The sequence below is a fragment of the Homo sapiens genome, chromosome 9 (assembly GCF_000001405.40).
Source record: "Homo sapiens chromosome 9, GRCh38.p14 Primary Assembly".
NCBI lineage: Eukaryota > Metazoa > Chordata > Mammalia > Primates > Hominidae > Homo > Homo sapiens.
The window spans coordinates 7,067,806-7,081,361 of NC_000009.12; the positions used below are offsets into that span (position 1 = coordinate 7,067,806).

Sequence of the window (13,556 nt, forward strand, 5' to 3'; positions counted from 1 at the left end):
TTTTTTTTGAGATGAAGTCTTGCCCTGTTGCCCAGGATGGAGTGCAGTGGTGCGATCTTGGCTCACTGCAAGCTCCGTCTCCCGGGTTCATGCCATTCTGCTGCCTCAGCCTCCCGAGTAGCTGGGACTACAGGCGGCCACCACCACGCATGGCTAATTTTTTTGTATTTTTAGTAGAGACGGGGTTTCACCATTTTAGTCAGGATGGTCTCGATCTCCTGACCTCGTGATCCACCCGCCTCGGCCTCCCAAAGTGCTGGGATTACAGGCGTGAGCCACCGCACCCAGCTGATTTTTGACTTTTTTCTATGGAGAAAATAACTTGGGAGGATGCAGCATTTTACCATGCTGTGTTAGATTTAGGAGTCTTTAAATAGCATACTATATTGGTCTGATATGCTGACACATATATGTGAATCTGTTTTATAAAAATAATCAACTTTTTCTTAAGGGTAGTTGTATTTTTCCTCCTTTGGTCTTACTATAAACCCACTAGCATCATGACATTTTACATACATTTGCTTATTTTCCGCACTTAGAAGTTTTCCAGGCTGCATTTCAAAGCTTTTATGTATACAATTTGATCACCTCAATTTTACTAAAGGTAGTGCCAACGGTTTCTCAGGTGTATGATTTGCTGCAAAGTATGAAAATATGAATGTAATAATAATGGTTGTAAGCTTTGGAGTCAGACAACCTGGGTTCACCTGTCAACTCTGCCACATGCTAATTATTTCAGAACGTGCCAGCTGCCTTGAAACTTTGTCCCTGATTTTCCTGACAGTTCCATGTTGTGTTCTTTTTCTTTGGCTACCTGGTTTTGGTTTCTTTGCTGGCTCCTTTTCTTCTGTCTATTTCATACATGTTTATGATGCCCTTTCTTTTTTTTTTTTTTTTTTTTTTTTTTTGAAACAGAATTTTGCTCTTGTCGCCCAGGCTGGAGTGCAATGGTGCAATCTTGGCTCACTGCATCCTCCTTCTCCCAGGTTCAAGCAAGTCTCCTGCCTCAGCCTTCTGAGTAGCTGGGATTACAGGTGTGCACCACCACGCCCAGCTAGTTTTTGTATTTTTAGTAGAGACGGAGTTTCATCGTGTTGGCCAGACTGGTCTCGAACTCCTGACCTCAGGTGATCCACCTGCCTCAGCCTCCCAAAGTGCTGGGATTACAGGCGTGAGCCACCGCGCCTGGCCTATGATGCCCTACTTTCTATCCGAACCTTTCTTCTCACTCTACATTCTCAGTGGAGCATTCGTAGAATCAAAATCACCATAATAGTAGCTTTTAACATTGTTCTGAGTGGCAAGTAAGATTCAGCATAGAGTACTCCACCAGGGCCTGGCTGTATAAGTGCTCAATAAATATTCCTTCTTATTGTTATTATGATGTATTACACTACTAATACCATTACAACAGTGAAATGATGTTAAAATAATGATGAATATGTAGTCTACATTTTAAAATAAATGATATTAGGGTTGTTTTAAAGTTAACTTTTATCACGTGGAACACATTTTCTCATACATAGAATATTACGCATATTTAATTGCCAGGAAAGTTTATACATGTTTATTTAACTTTTTAAACAAACTTTAAATTTTAGGCCAGGTGTGTGGGAGGATTGCTTGAGCCTAGGAGCTCTAGGTTACAGTGAGCCATGATTGCACCACTGCACTCCACCCTAGGCTACAGAGCAAGACCCTGTTTCTAAAAGCAAAACAAAACAAAACAAAAAACTTTAAATTTTAAAATAATTACAGATTCGTGGGAAGTTGTGACAGTTCTAAAGTTTTGTCTCTCAATTTCCTCTATTGGTTACTTCTTATGTAATTATAGTATAATATTAAAACCAGGAAAGTAACATTGATACAACAGGTGTATATAGTTTTATGTAATTTTATCACATGGAAATGTGGCTGTCATTTTTTTCACAAGGAAATGTGACTCCCTAAATGGGTAAAGGGAAGGTAAAGTCAAAATAGTAGTAATGTATTGTGGTTTATAGGACATGTGAAAATAAAGTGTGTGACAATTACAATGTGAGACATGAGGTGGACTAATTGAGAATATATTAAGGTTCTCACACCAGATTTGAAGTGCTACAATATTATTTGAAGATAGATTGTAATTGGGTATTATAAAGTGTAGTGTGACTAAGAATATTTTTAAAAGAGAGGTACAGATTTAAGTCATTAGTGGAGATAAATGAAATAAAAATAAATTTAGCTAAATCAAAAGCAGGCAGAACAGGGGGAAAAGGGAACAACAAACAGACTGACAAAATCAAACAAGTAGTTGTTACAGTTTGGAAACCTAGGTGACATGGACAAATTTCTTATAAGAAACAAAACATCAAAACTCACCCAACAAGAAATAGCTAAATAAGAAATAGTGTTTTATTTATTAATGGAGTTGAATTTGTAAACAAAAATCTTTCTAGAATAAAACTGCAGGCCCAGATGCTGTCATTGGTGTATTGTAAATTTCAGTATTATGATGTAAAATGTTAAAGGAAGAAATTATAGCAGTTCTACCTAAACACTTTTAAAAAATTAGAAGTGAAGGGAACACCTCCCAATTCATTGCATAGGGCCAGCATAACCCTGATACTCAACTCTTGCAAAGGAAAACTGTAGACCCATATTCATCATGAATATACATTTCAAAAAATCCCATCATAATAATTAACAAACTGAATCAGCAGTATATAAAAAACTTAATTGGGTTTATCCTGAGAACATAAGGCTTATTTAACTTTTTAAAATCAATCAATGTAATTAGCTATAGTAACAGACTAAAGAAAAGCCATATGATTAATATACTGGAGAAAAAAACATTTAACTGGATTTAACATTGATTCCCAATAAAAACTCACAGCAGACTATCCACAGAAAGAACTTCCTCATTCTAATAAAGCATACTTACAAAAAAACCTACTGCGAACATTAGACATAATGGTGATACACTGAATTCTTTCCTGTGACTGTGAACAAGGTAATGAATTCAGTTCCCATCACTCCTATTCAACCTCATACTGAGTGCAGATCCTAGCTGGTGCTGTAAGGCAAGAAAAATGAATTCAAATCATACTGATTGGAGGAGGACATGATTATTTCCATAAAGTCCCAAAGGTTTACAAAAAAAGCTAATAAAACCTATGAATGAGTGTGTCAAGTTTTCAGGGGTACAAGGTTAAAAAATTTCATTGTATTTATGTATGCTAGCAATGAAAAATTTGAAAGTTAATAAAAATCCATTTCCATTAATGCCAAAATAATGAAATGCGTAGATATAACATGAAAGCATATATGCAAAATCTGTATGTTGAAAACTATAAAACGCTAATAAAGGAAATCAAAGAATAGCTAAATAAGTAGAAAGTTACACCTGATTGGAAGACACATTGTTGTTAAAATATTAATTCTCCACCAAATTGATCATAGATTCAGTGTAATTCTAATGAAATTTCCAGCAGGATTTACTATAGAAAATGATAATCGAATTCTAAAATTTATGTGGAAAGGGAAAGCCAAAATAATTTGGAAAAGAACAACAAAATTGGATGAATCTCACTACCTGATTTCAATGCTTATTATAAAGCTACAATTAGCAAGTTAATGTGGTGAAGGGATAGACATATGTAACAATAGAAAAGAATAGAAATTTCAGGACTAGACACATACACCTATGGTCATGTGTTTTTCAGTAAAAGTTCCAAGGCAATTAGTTTGTTATTTAAGTGATGTTGGAAAAATTTGGAAAATAAATACATAAAATTGAATCTTGATCCATACTCATTTTATGTACAAAAATGAACTGAAATTGGATCATAAACAAACATCAAACCAGAAACTATAAAACTTATAGAAGAAAATCTTTGTGATCATGGGTTTTACGTCACAAAAGCCCTATGAGATTTCTTAGATAAATAGATCAAAATTTTGACCCATTAAAACAATTGAAAAATTGAGCCCCATAAAAATAATACACTTCTGCTCTTTGAAAAACACTTTTTGAGTCTACGGCCATACCACCCTGAACACACCTGATCTCATCTGAAAGACACTGTTTGAGAAGCCACAGACTGGGACAGAATATTTGCACAACACACACTTGATAAGGAACTTGTCTCCAGGATATATAAAGAACTCTTGACACTCAACAATAAAAGAACCTTATAAAAAACTGCAAAATTTTATCTTACACTTCACTAGAGGACATACATAGACAGCACATAAGTACATGACAAAATGCTTAATGTCATTATCTGTTAGGTAAAGCAAGTAGAACCACAATGATATGTCACTACATATCAATGGAATAGTCAGTGTTAAGATAACTGACAGTGTCAAGTAGTGATGCTGACGTTTAGCAACTGGAATGCTTATAAATTGCTTGTGGTAATGCAAAATGGTATAGCCATCTTGGAAAACAGCCTGGCAGTTTCTTATAAAATTAAACTTACAATTTAGCATACCATCCAGCAATCCCACTTCTAGGAATTTACTTAAGAGAAATGAAAATTTATGTTTACATATATCATAATCACCCAAAAAATGGAAGCAACTCAGTGTTTTTCAACTGGGGAATGAATTCTCAAAACATGGTACCTTCATACAATATAATGCTACTCAGCACTAAAAAGGAACAAACTAGAGATTTCATCAACCATGGATGAATCTCAGATTCATTACCCTAAGTGAAAGATGCCTGACTCAAAAGGCTCCGTACTGTTGAATTCAATTTATGTCACATTCTGTAAAAGCAAAACACACAAGGACAGAAAATGGATTAGTGCTGGGCCTTATGCATGGGTGGAGTCACTGACTACAAAGGGGCACAAAGAATTTTTGTGCTGATGGCACTGTGGTGTATCTTGATTGTGGTGGAGGTACACAACTGTATTGTTTTGTGGAAACTTACAGAAGTATACACACTAAAGGATGAACTTTATGTTATTTACGTTGCACTTTGAAAATTAAATATAAAACCCTATATGTTTTTAAAGATTTCATTTACATTTGATGTACAATCATTGTACATACTTATGGGGTACAATGTGATCTTTTGATACATGTATACATTGTGTAATCATCAAAACCACATTTTTAATGTTAGTAGATTGACTGTGGAAATGACTGATACTAATGATAGCTCAGTGATGTAGGGAGAAGGACAAAGTGGTGAAGAAAAGTAGTAGGAGAAGTAGTGAGAGGAAAGAATGTAGATGATCAGAGAAGGGGAAGTGTTTTGGGAGATGAGAGCTACAGTCCATGACAGCAACATTCCACCCCATGCTCAGTGTTTACTCTCCTCTGGACGACATGGGACTCTCAGGGGTGGAATCTTCTTCTTAGAATGCTTTTGGCATAGATCTACCTCCATTTAGAATGTTCCGATCTAACATAGCTATTTCTGTAGCTAAAATCCTACTGCCAGAATCATTAATTAGATATTACAGTTTCTATTGCTTTTTCATTGTGATAATTTTCTCATTGCAGATTAAATGAGATATATGCGATGTTAGCACAATGGTTGGCACTGAGTAAGTTTCAGTAATTTACTCATGAAGTAATTATGACAACTCTTATTTTATATGTTATATAGATAATAGTTGAAGAGCTGTGTAAATCCTGGACTCCTGACCCAACTCCCATGTTCTCTCCCACTAAGCTATACTCACCTTTGTGGTGGTAGCTTCCCGATATTCTCAGAGGCTGAAAACAAACATGGAGATGCAGAAATTAATTGTTTCCAGTATTTTCCAAGAAAACGATTATCTCAGTTCAGTTATACTCCCTGTTTTTTGTTTGTTTTACTTTTCATTTCAGAGTACTTTAAATGTGTGCAGTGTGATAAAACTATATCTGCATTATTTCAGCCCTTGGGAGATATAGGCTGCAGGTGAATGGGAGAAATATTCTTAAATTAAGTTTGAACATATCCTCACATGGTACCATTAGCCTTGCAGGGCCCATCAAATTGTAGTTCACTCTTGCCTGGTGTCAGATCTGTTGGAAAGCTTTGACAAACAGTTGGTCTGTCAGAGACAGCTAAAAGCCTCAGAGAGGTGCAGAGAGACGCATACATCTATCATCTAATAAACTCCACTTGTGGCAGGTGTCTCGGAAACCTAACTCATAGTGATGTGGGCACATGGGTTTTGTTAACCAGAAATAACATTTTAGCATTGACAGCTTTTAAAAAAGACAGTTCTAGACAGGAATTTGCTATCTAAAGAACAGCAAACTAATCTTCCCTTCAAATAAAAAGATTGTAGTGCATCTTACTTTATAGAGAAAAAGGATGTCAGTATTGAGCTTATTTCCTAACATCTGAATCTTTTAAGTGCTGAGCAAATTTTTTTTTTTTCTTTCTGAGTTGGAGTTTCGCTCTGTCACCCAGGCTGGAGTGCAGTGGCGCGATCTCAGCTCACTGCAACCGCTGTCTCTTGGGTTCAAACAATTCTCCTGCCTCAGCTTCCCAGGTAGCTAGGATTACAGGCATGTGCCAACTTGCATGGCTAATTTTTTTGTATATTTTAGTAGAAATGAGGTTTCACCATGTTGGCCAGGGTGATCTCGAACTCCTGACCTCAAATGATCCACCCACCTTGGTCTGCCAAAGTCCTGGGATTACGGGTATGAGCCACTGTGCCCAGCATTGCTGAGCAATTTTTATATAATCTATTCTTGAATCTCAATCAGAATGAAAACTTTTGTTTAGAAAGTCACGTATAAATGATGTTTGACCACGTTATTTTTCAGCTTATAAGTAAGTTTTGATCAAGTCCACGTGACTGTCTTTATATTATAAAGGAATGCATATATTTTTGCAATATTCCAGGCATCTTATTAAATTCAGATTTAGCAATTTACCTATATACTATTTGCAGTTTTCATTACTTGCTATTAACCCTAAAGGACTAGATCATTGAATTAGTTGTTTTGCTGAGCCTTTTTGGCTGCTGTATAGGGTATCACTAAGATAATGAGTGAGCCTACCTACCCATCCAGCATGGACATGCTGATACGTTTTTATTTCTGTATATCTGAATGCACATTTTACATGAAAAGGTATGTATTCTATTTGAATACATCATGAATTTAGGAGTTTACAAAGGTCTCAGGATGTCTGACAAGATCTCCTGCCATACCCAGCGAATGGATGATTTTCATCCTTGAGAATGATGAACTCATTAATTTGTATATGAAGAGCAATAAACAGAGTCTCCTCTTTCTTGAACAAAAGTAGGGATATGAAACAACTTTCTCCCCAACTGGACCCCAGCAGAAAGCATCCCAGCTGTGATGGTGGGCATGATATGCAGTCAGTCAGACAATTCTGCAGTCAGGTGTTTTGTTCAGCATCCCCCAGAACGGATCCCAGCGCATAATACCTCTTTACATGTAGTAAAATGACTGGTAATCCATTCTGTCTATGCTCGGTTAATGGTTTGTTTTTGGTTTTGTGTTTTGAAGTTCAACTGTCCTGTTTCATCTTCTATGGTTTCATCACATGTGTTTTGTCTCTGCCAAAATTCATGTTGAAACTCGATCCCAGTGTGGCAGTGTTGGGGGGTGCGACCTAGTGGAGGTTTTTGAGTCTCTGGGGTGCTTCCCTCATGAATGGATGAATGCCCTTCTGTATGGGTTAAGTCCTCACTGACGGAATAAGTTAGCTCCTGAGAGAGTTTGTTGTAAAAAAGAGTCTGGCTTCCTCGGTTTCTCTCTCATACCCTCTTTCACCATGTGATCTCTTTGCACTCCCACCCCACTTCTGCTTTCCACAGTGAGTTGAAGCAGCCTGAGGTCCTCACCACATGCAGATGCCCAATCTTGAACCTTCCAGCCAGCAAAATCTTGAGCCAAATAAACCTCTTTTCTTTATAAACTACCCAATCTCAGGTATTCTGTTACAGCAACACTGCTTATCAGGAAGGACAAGCTGGTGAAGAAAAGAGGGAGACTCCATCTCCTGGGCATACTCTTTAATCATTCTGAGGATTTTTTTTTTTTCTTTTTTTGAGACAGAGTTTCACTCCTGTCACCCAGGCTGGAGTGCAGTGGTGTGATCCATTCTGAGGATTTTTATTTGGGTGAAAATTTAAATCTTGGGTGTGATAATTTGTTAGTTTATTCTCAAAGTAGGTCAACCCTCCCTTTTCCTCAGTCATAGAAAAGAACAGCAACACAGCTTATGGGATAGAACGAACATTTATGGCATGTGAGCCTTGCACTGAGTGCTGTACCTGGTGCCATCACATGTGTTATCTTTGTGATCCTCCACACTACTGTATATATTTGGTATTTCAGTCTCTTCTTTGCCAGGCCCAGTTCTGGCCATCCTACTGTAATAAACCAACAGCAAGAACAACAGAAGAAAAAAAAACCCAAAATCTTCCTCTTGCGATACTTTATGCTAAGCATAATTTCAAACCATTTTTACTGGAAACTTAGATGATTTTTAAGGAAACATAAATGGTAAACAGTTTATTCAAGGAATACATATGGGAAGTGTCTGAGCTGGGATTAAATTAGTTTGTCTCATGCTAAAGCCCATGCTATTTTCACTATAATTTATTAAAATCTGGCATATTGGACTTTTAAAATTTGCATTGTGTTTTTCAGGGAAGGCTGGGAATCTAGACACAGCAACAGTAACAACAACAACAATAACAATGAAGGCTCACTGTGAAAACATCAATTCATTAGGAAAGTTACATCCCCTCCGCCACTGTTTCAGATGCTGTTTCTCATTCTCCATGGGAGCAGCCAGCATCGTGTTTAGGATGGGGATACAATAGCCTGAGCTCCTGATTGAGTCAGACCCTGGACTTTCCCTTTTGTATCTGTCATTTTCCTCTGGATCCTCACACCTTTGTGTTTAATTTTTTTAAATTTCATTTGTTGACTTCCTATGTGGGGTAAAATGACTTCCTTTGATTAATGTACTTTCTGTATCCTAGAGTTTCCCTTTCCCTTTGTGATTTAGTCCAACGTGTCCTACTACAGCCTCAAAAATTGTCATTGGAATCAAAAGCTTTCCAAGGTGCATCAGGTTAATGATTTGGATGCATCCTGAGGTTGTCTCCTGTAGCATGGAGGCATTATAATAGGAGTCTCAGAAGTTACACCATTTTTCTACAGCACATCACAGGCCCAGAGGCTTGAATCTAAGAGAATCCACTCTATGTCTGTCAGCCTGAATCCTTCCTTCTTGCTGCACAACAAAGCAACTGAACGTATTTTGAGTTTAGGTGAAAACTATCACTCATTCATCAAAGTTCTATCTGGGTGATATATGCTATCGAAACAGATGTGGACACTGGGCTGACAGATGTTGAGAACGGACCTGTTGCTGAAGCTCATGTTATCACACATGCTGTGGGAAGAGAGGTCATTGGCATTCAAGATGCAACACCTACAATATGGTGAATTAAAGATGCCATTTGCATGGATCTTGGATTAGTGCTTGTAATTTGATTTGCGTATTTACATTGCTTTGGACATATAGTTGTCATCCTATGCCCCTCCCCTCAACTACGGCTGAAAAAAAAGTAAATATGAAATAGAATAGCATGCTATTTAGCATTTATCTGTAAGCTATACTAATGTTTTTGTGTTGAATATTCTTTTTCATTTTGGCAGCTCTGCACTAGGCCAGACATTGTCTAGTAATCTTCCAACAACTCTTTCATATTGATATCTTTATTCCCATTTTATATTTTGTAAAACTGGGGCTAAGAAGAGTTCAATAATTTGAGCTCATACAGCCACTAAGTGACAGAACTGCTCAACCATTTTGCTGGCTGTACTGCCTCTGGAATATGGTGGAGTCAAGAGAAGTGGGAGGTCTATGACTCCCAGGAACACCTTTAAGCTGCCTCATCAATCCTGAGTCTCATCATCATTGCCTGGACTTCACAATGTAAGTCAGCCCATCAAGGCAACACAGTGCATGCACCACATTTTCAACTTGCAGACCAGTCAGTCTACAGAGAAAGATGTCTATCTAATTTCTGTATATTTGTCAAATAATGGCATGTCTGAGCCATGGCAGGAAACACATGGTCACCCTCTTACCTTGGGTTTCTCAGGTGTTTTGGCCAGCAGATATTTAGGCTCTGGGATCAAAGACCTCCAGGTTCCACATGTGAGGATCTCCAGCACAATTAAAGGAAAGTTGATCAACATGTCTGTTTAATTAATGTTTCTAATATTTCTTTAAAAATCAAGTTTTGATGAGAAAAAAATTAAAGACAAATTATATCCAGAATGTTCCCATTTATTTATTTATTTTTTAATGCATTGGGAGAAGACTCAAGGAATATGCCATATTGTCGTTGTCTCTGGATGACAGGATATTGGGTGCTTTTTAAAAAAATAATTTATACATGCTGTGGTGTAATTTGCAGCTTTTCTGTAGGAACTTTTTTATAGCTTGTAAAATCAATGGGAAAAAAGTAAAATATTAAATCAGATAAAATGTTATTTAAACACCATAGTTTTTTATATAACTTTGCCTAGTGACCCCAGTAGGAAGGACATGGACACAGCTTTTAGCAGAGAAATTGTTCCTAGGTTTCCTTTTTTTTTTTGTCTTCAACACAGAGCCTCTGGGTTTTCTTTTCTTTTTCTTTCTTTAAAATGCTGGACACATTTTTCTTATTAATGTTCACAATTCCATATTCATGTTCTCCTTAATGGTTCTCTTCAACATGGAAGGTTCTCTTCTGATATCTTTAGTAGTAATTTTCAGAGAATCCTTGTTTTACTTGCTAGCCAAGCCCAAGGTCTGTATTTTACATGTTTTCCATTATTGTCTTGCATTTTAAAGGTCCATAGTTTAATTAGCTTGAGTATAAATTACCTTCATCCTTTTCTAGAGGTCCCATAGCCAAAACAATAACTTAAATACAAATATGCTGAAATATCTATATTTACAATGTTCTTAAATATCTTGAAATCAATCTATACTTATCTGTTGGATGTAACTTACATGTACACTGGAGGTGTCCATGAGCAACCCCATGATTGGATGATTGACTGGGAGAATTCACAGGATGTAACATGTAGTTGTACTCACAGCTAAGATTTATTGCAGTGAAAGGATACAAAGCAAAGTTTGCTTATACATCAGTGCCCAGGTTTTTATTGAGGGCTGATCACATAGGCACCCTCTGCCTAGCATGTACCAAAATTTCAGACTCCCAGAAGAAAAGCAGGTTTACAGATTCAGCATAAACCATATTGTTAGTACATTTTTGGTACAGTGAGCCATTCTTATCAATGAATGGTGGCAAGCTTCCTGAAATTCAAGTTCCTGTATGTCTGCCAGGGGCCAACCTTGGAAGCAGAACTTTCAAGGCATAACAGTTTCAGGCCTGTTGTATTAACTCTTCTATTCAACATGTAATAAAAAGCCAGAAATATTCTTTAGTGCCAAAGGCCAAAATGAGTTTGTTGAAGTAAAGAATAGCCCCATTATATACATTAATCTCTACAAGAGTGACTTTGTTTTTTGTTTGTTTGTTTTGAGATGGAGTCTCGCTGTGTTGCCCAGGCTGGAATGTAGTAGTACGATCTTGGCTCACTACAACCCCTGCCTCCTGGTTCAAGCGATTCTCCTGCCTCAACCTCCCAAGTAGCTAGTACTACAGGTGCATGCCACCACTCCCAGCTAATATTTTATTTTTAGTGGAGACAGTGTTTCGCCATGTTGGCCAGGCTGGTCTTGAACTCCTGACCTCAAGTGATCTGCCCATCTAAGCCTCCCAAAGTGCTGGGATTAGAGGCGTGAGCCACGGCACCCAGCCTGAGAGTGACTTTGAACAAACTACCCTTTACCTCACTTTTCACCTCTATAAATGGCACTTACACTCTGCATAGTCGAATTCTGTGATTCTATGTGTTTTGTAATACTTTATATAATAGAGATTCCTAAACTGGGATCCGTGTATTCCAGGGTTAAATGAAGACTTTCCTAGAAGTACAATGCACTGATATCTCTTAGAGAATTAATTTTCTGGCCCTCAACTTTTAACATGTACTCTTTCCCAAGCTTGATCTGCATGAGAGTGAACCTTGGAAGGGGCTGCTGGTTCTCCTTTCCCACAACTTCTTTTGCTTTACAGAATAAATGCATCACTCCCAGGTAAACAGATAAAGGTACAGGCTTTGAGGGCAAGTCTCAAAAGAGCAAAGTAGAGATAGATTAGGTAATAAATACTGAAAAAAAAAAATGGCACTTCATCTAGGCCATGGATTTATTGCAGAATTTATGTACCTTATCCACTAGGCATTCCCTCAAACCCATGGTGTCTTCTTGGTCCACAACTAGTCCACATAACCCAGCCTCCCTTACTGGTAGGAGCACAGCCACAGGTATTGGAGCAGAAGTGAAATATATTACTCTCAGGTTTGGCTCCTAAATAACCCCCATGTATTCTCCTCCTTACTGTTTTCTGAAATGGAGTTGACCTGCAAAGAGACCCTAGAGCCCAAATGTTGAGATCACAGCACTTTGTCAGCCTAGGCCCCTAAATGGCTGTGGAGGAGAGCTACCCCACTGAACTATTTGCCAGCCCAGTACTGTTATCTGAGCAAGAAGTGAGGTTCTGTTGTGTTAAGGCCATTGTATAGTTGGGACTGTCTTTTACTCACTGTTGATTGTTTCTCTTAGAATTCAGAAGTGAAATGCTTGATATGGGAATGTGTATTAATACAATTTATTTGAATTGCAAAAGGAATTCAGACTTTTTCAGATAAAAAACAAGTCTGTTTTGGCAGATTGCTTTGATAATGAGGACTGCCTTTGTCTATTGGGTTTTATATTTGGGGCAGACATTTTACATAAATTGGAATCTGCTGTCTCAAAATTTGACAAAAAATATAATTTAAGCGCACATATAATTATATTCTGGAATTCTATGCTGGGAAATAATGTCCTTTTGCATCTATTTCACCTTAAAGTTAAAAACAGTACAACCCCATAAATCTCAACTTTAACATTCAAGGCGCGTTATAGTCTTCCAGAATTCTTCTGGGGAATTGTAAGCAAAAACGTTCACTGACCACTAGTTTATAAAAGAGGGCTGTTAGCTAGTAGTTTAAATAAGTCTTGGTTGACCTGATTAATAAACAGGCCCTTAGTGATTCACTTGTGTAAATGAGCTAAATGTGTGGGCAAACCTAAGGCACACGACAGAGACTAATGCTACAGCTTGAACAACTTCTGCTATTGTAAGTCTTTTTACAAATTACCCTCTTAAAATATTTGTAGATTCACATCAGGCAGGTGAATGGGAAGGCTGAGTAACTGATCTTCCTGTAAGAAAAGTATGTGGAGGGGGATTACTTCACTTAATGTTGTCAGTAAACCTGAAGTTTTATTGTTCCATCTTCTTCCCTGAATCTCTTTTATGTGCCACGTAGACACGTAGATATGGGGTGGACTTCAGGACCTGGGCCAAGTGTTTGTGGGAAAGAAATTGAAGAATAACTAGGTGCCTAAAGCGCTAAGGGAAGAACTTAGTCTGACTGAATGCAATTTCCTA

The 13,556-nt window shown here is 37.5% G+C and overlaps 1 protein-coding gene across 21 annotated transcripts in view; it reads left to right on the forward strand.

Moving 5' to 3' along the window:
• The window catches only part of KDM4C (lysine demethylase 4C), a 454,786-nt gene that overhangs the window by 346,943 nt on the left and 94,287 nt on the right, over positions 1–13,556 (forward strand). For 3 of the 21 annotated variants that reach the window (NM_001146696.2, NM_001146695.4, NM_001353998.3), the window contains one exon: positions 8,629–9,458. The exons of the other annotated variants lie outside the window; for them this stretch is intronic. In NM_001146696.2, coding sequence (NP_001140168.1) covers positions 8,629–8,646 — 18 coding nt within the window. In that variant the 3' untranslated portion in view covers positions 8,647–9,458. Of the gene's footprint in view, positions 1–8,628; positions 9,459–13,556 lie in introns of those variants that run through there. 21 annotated transcript variants of the gene reach the window in all.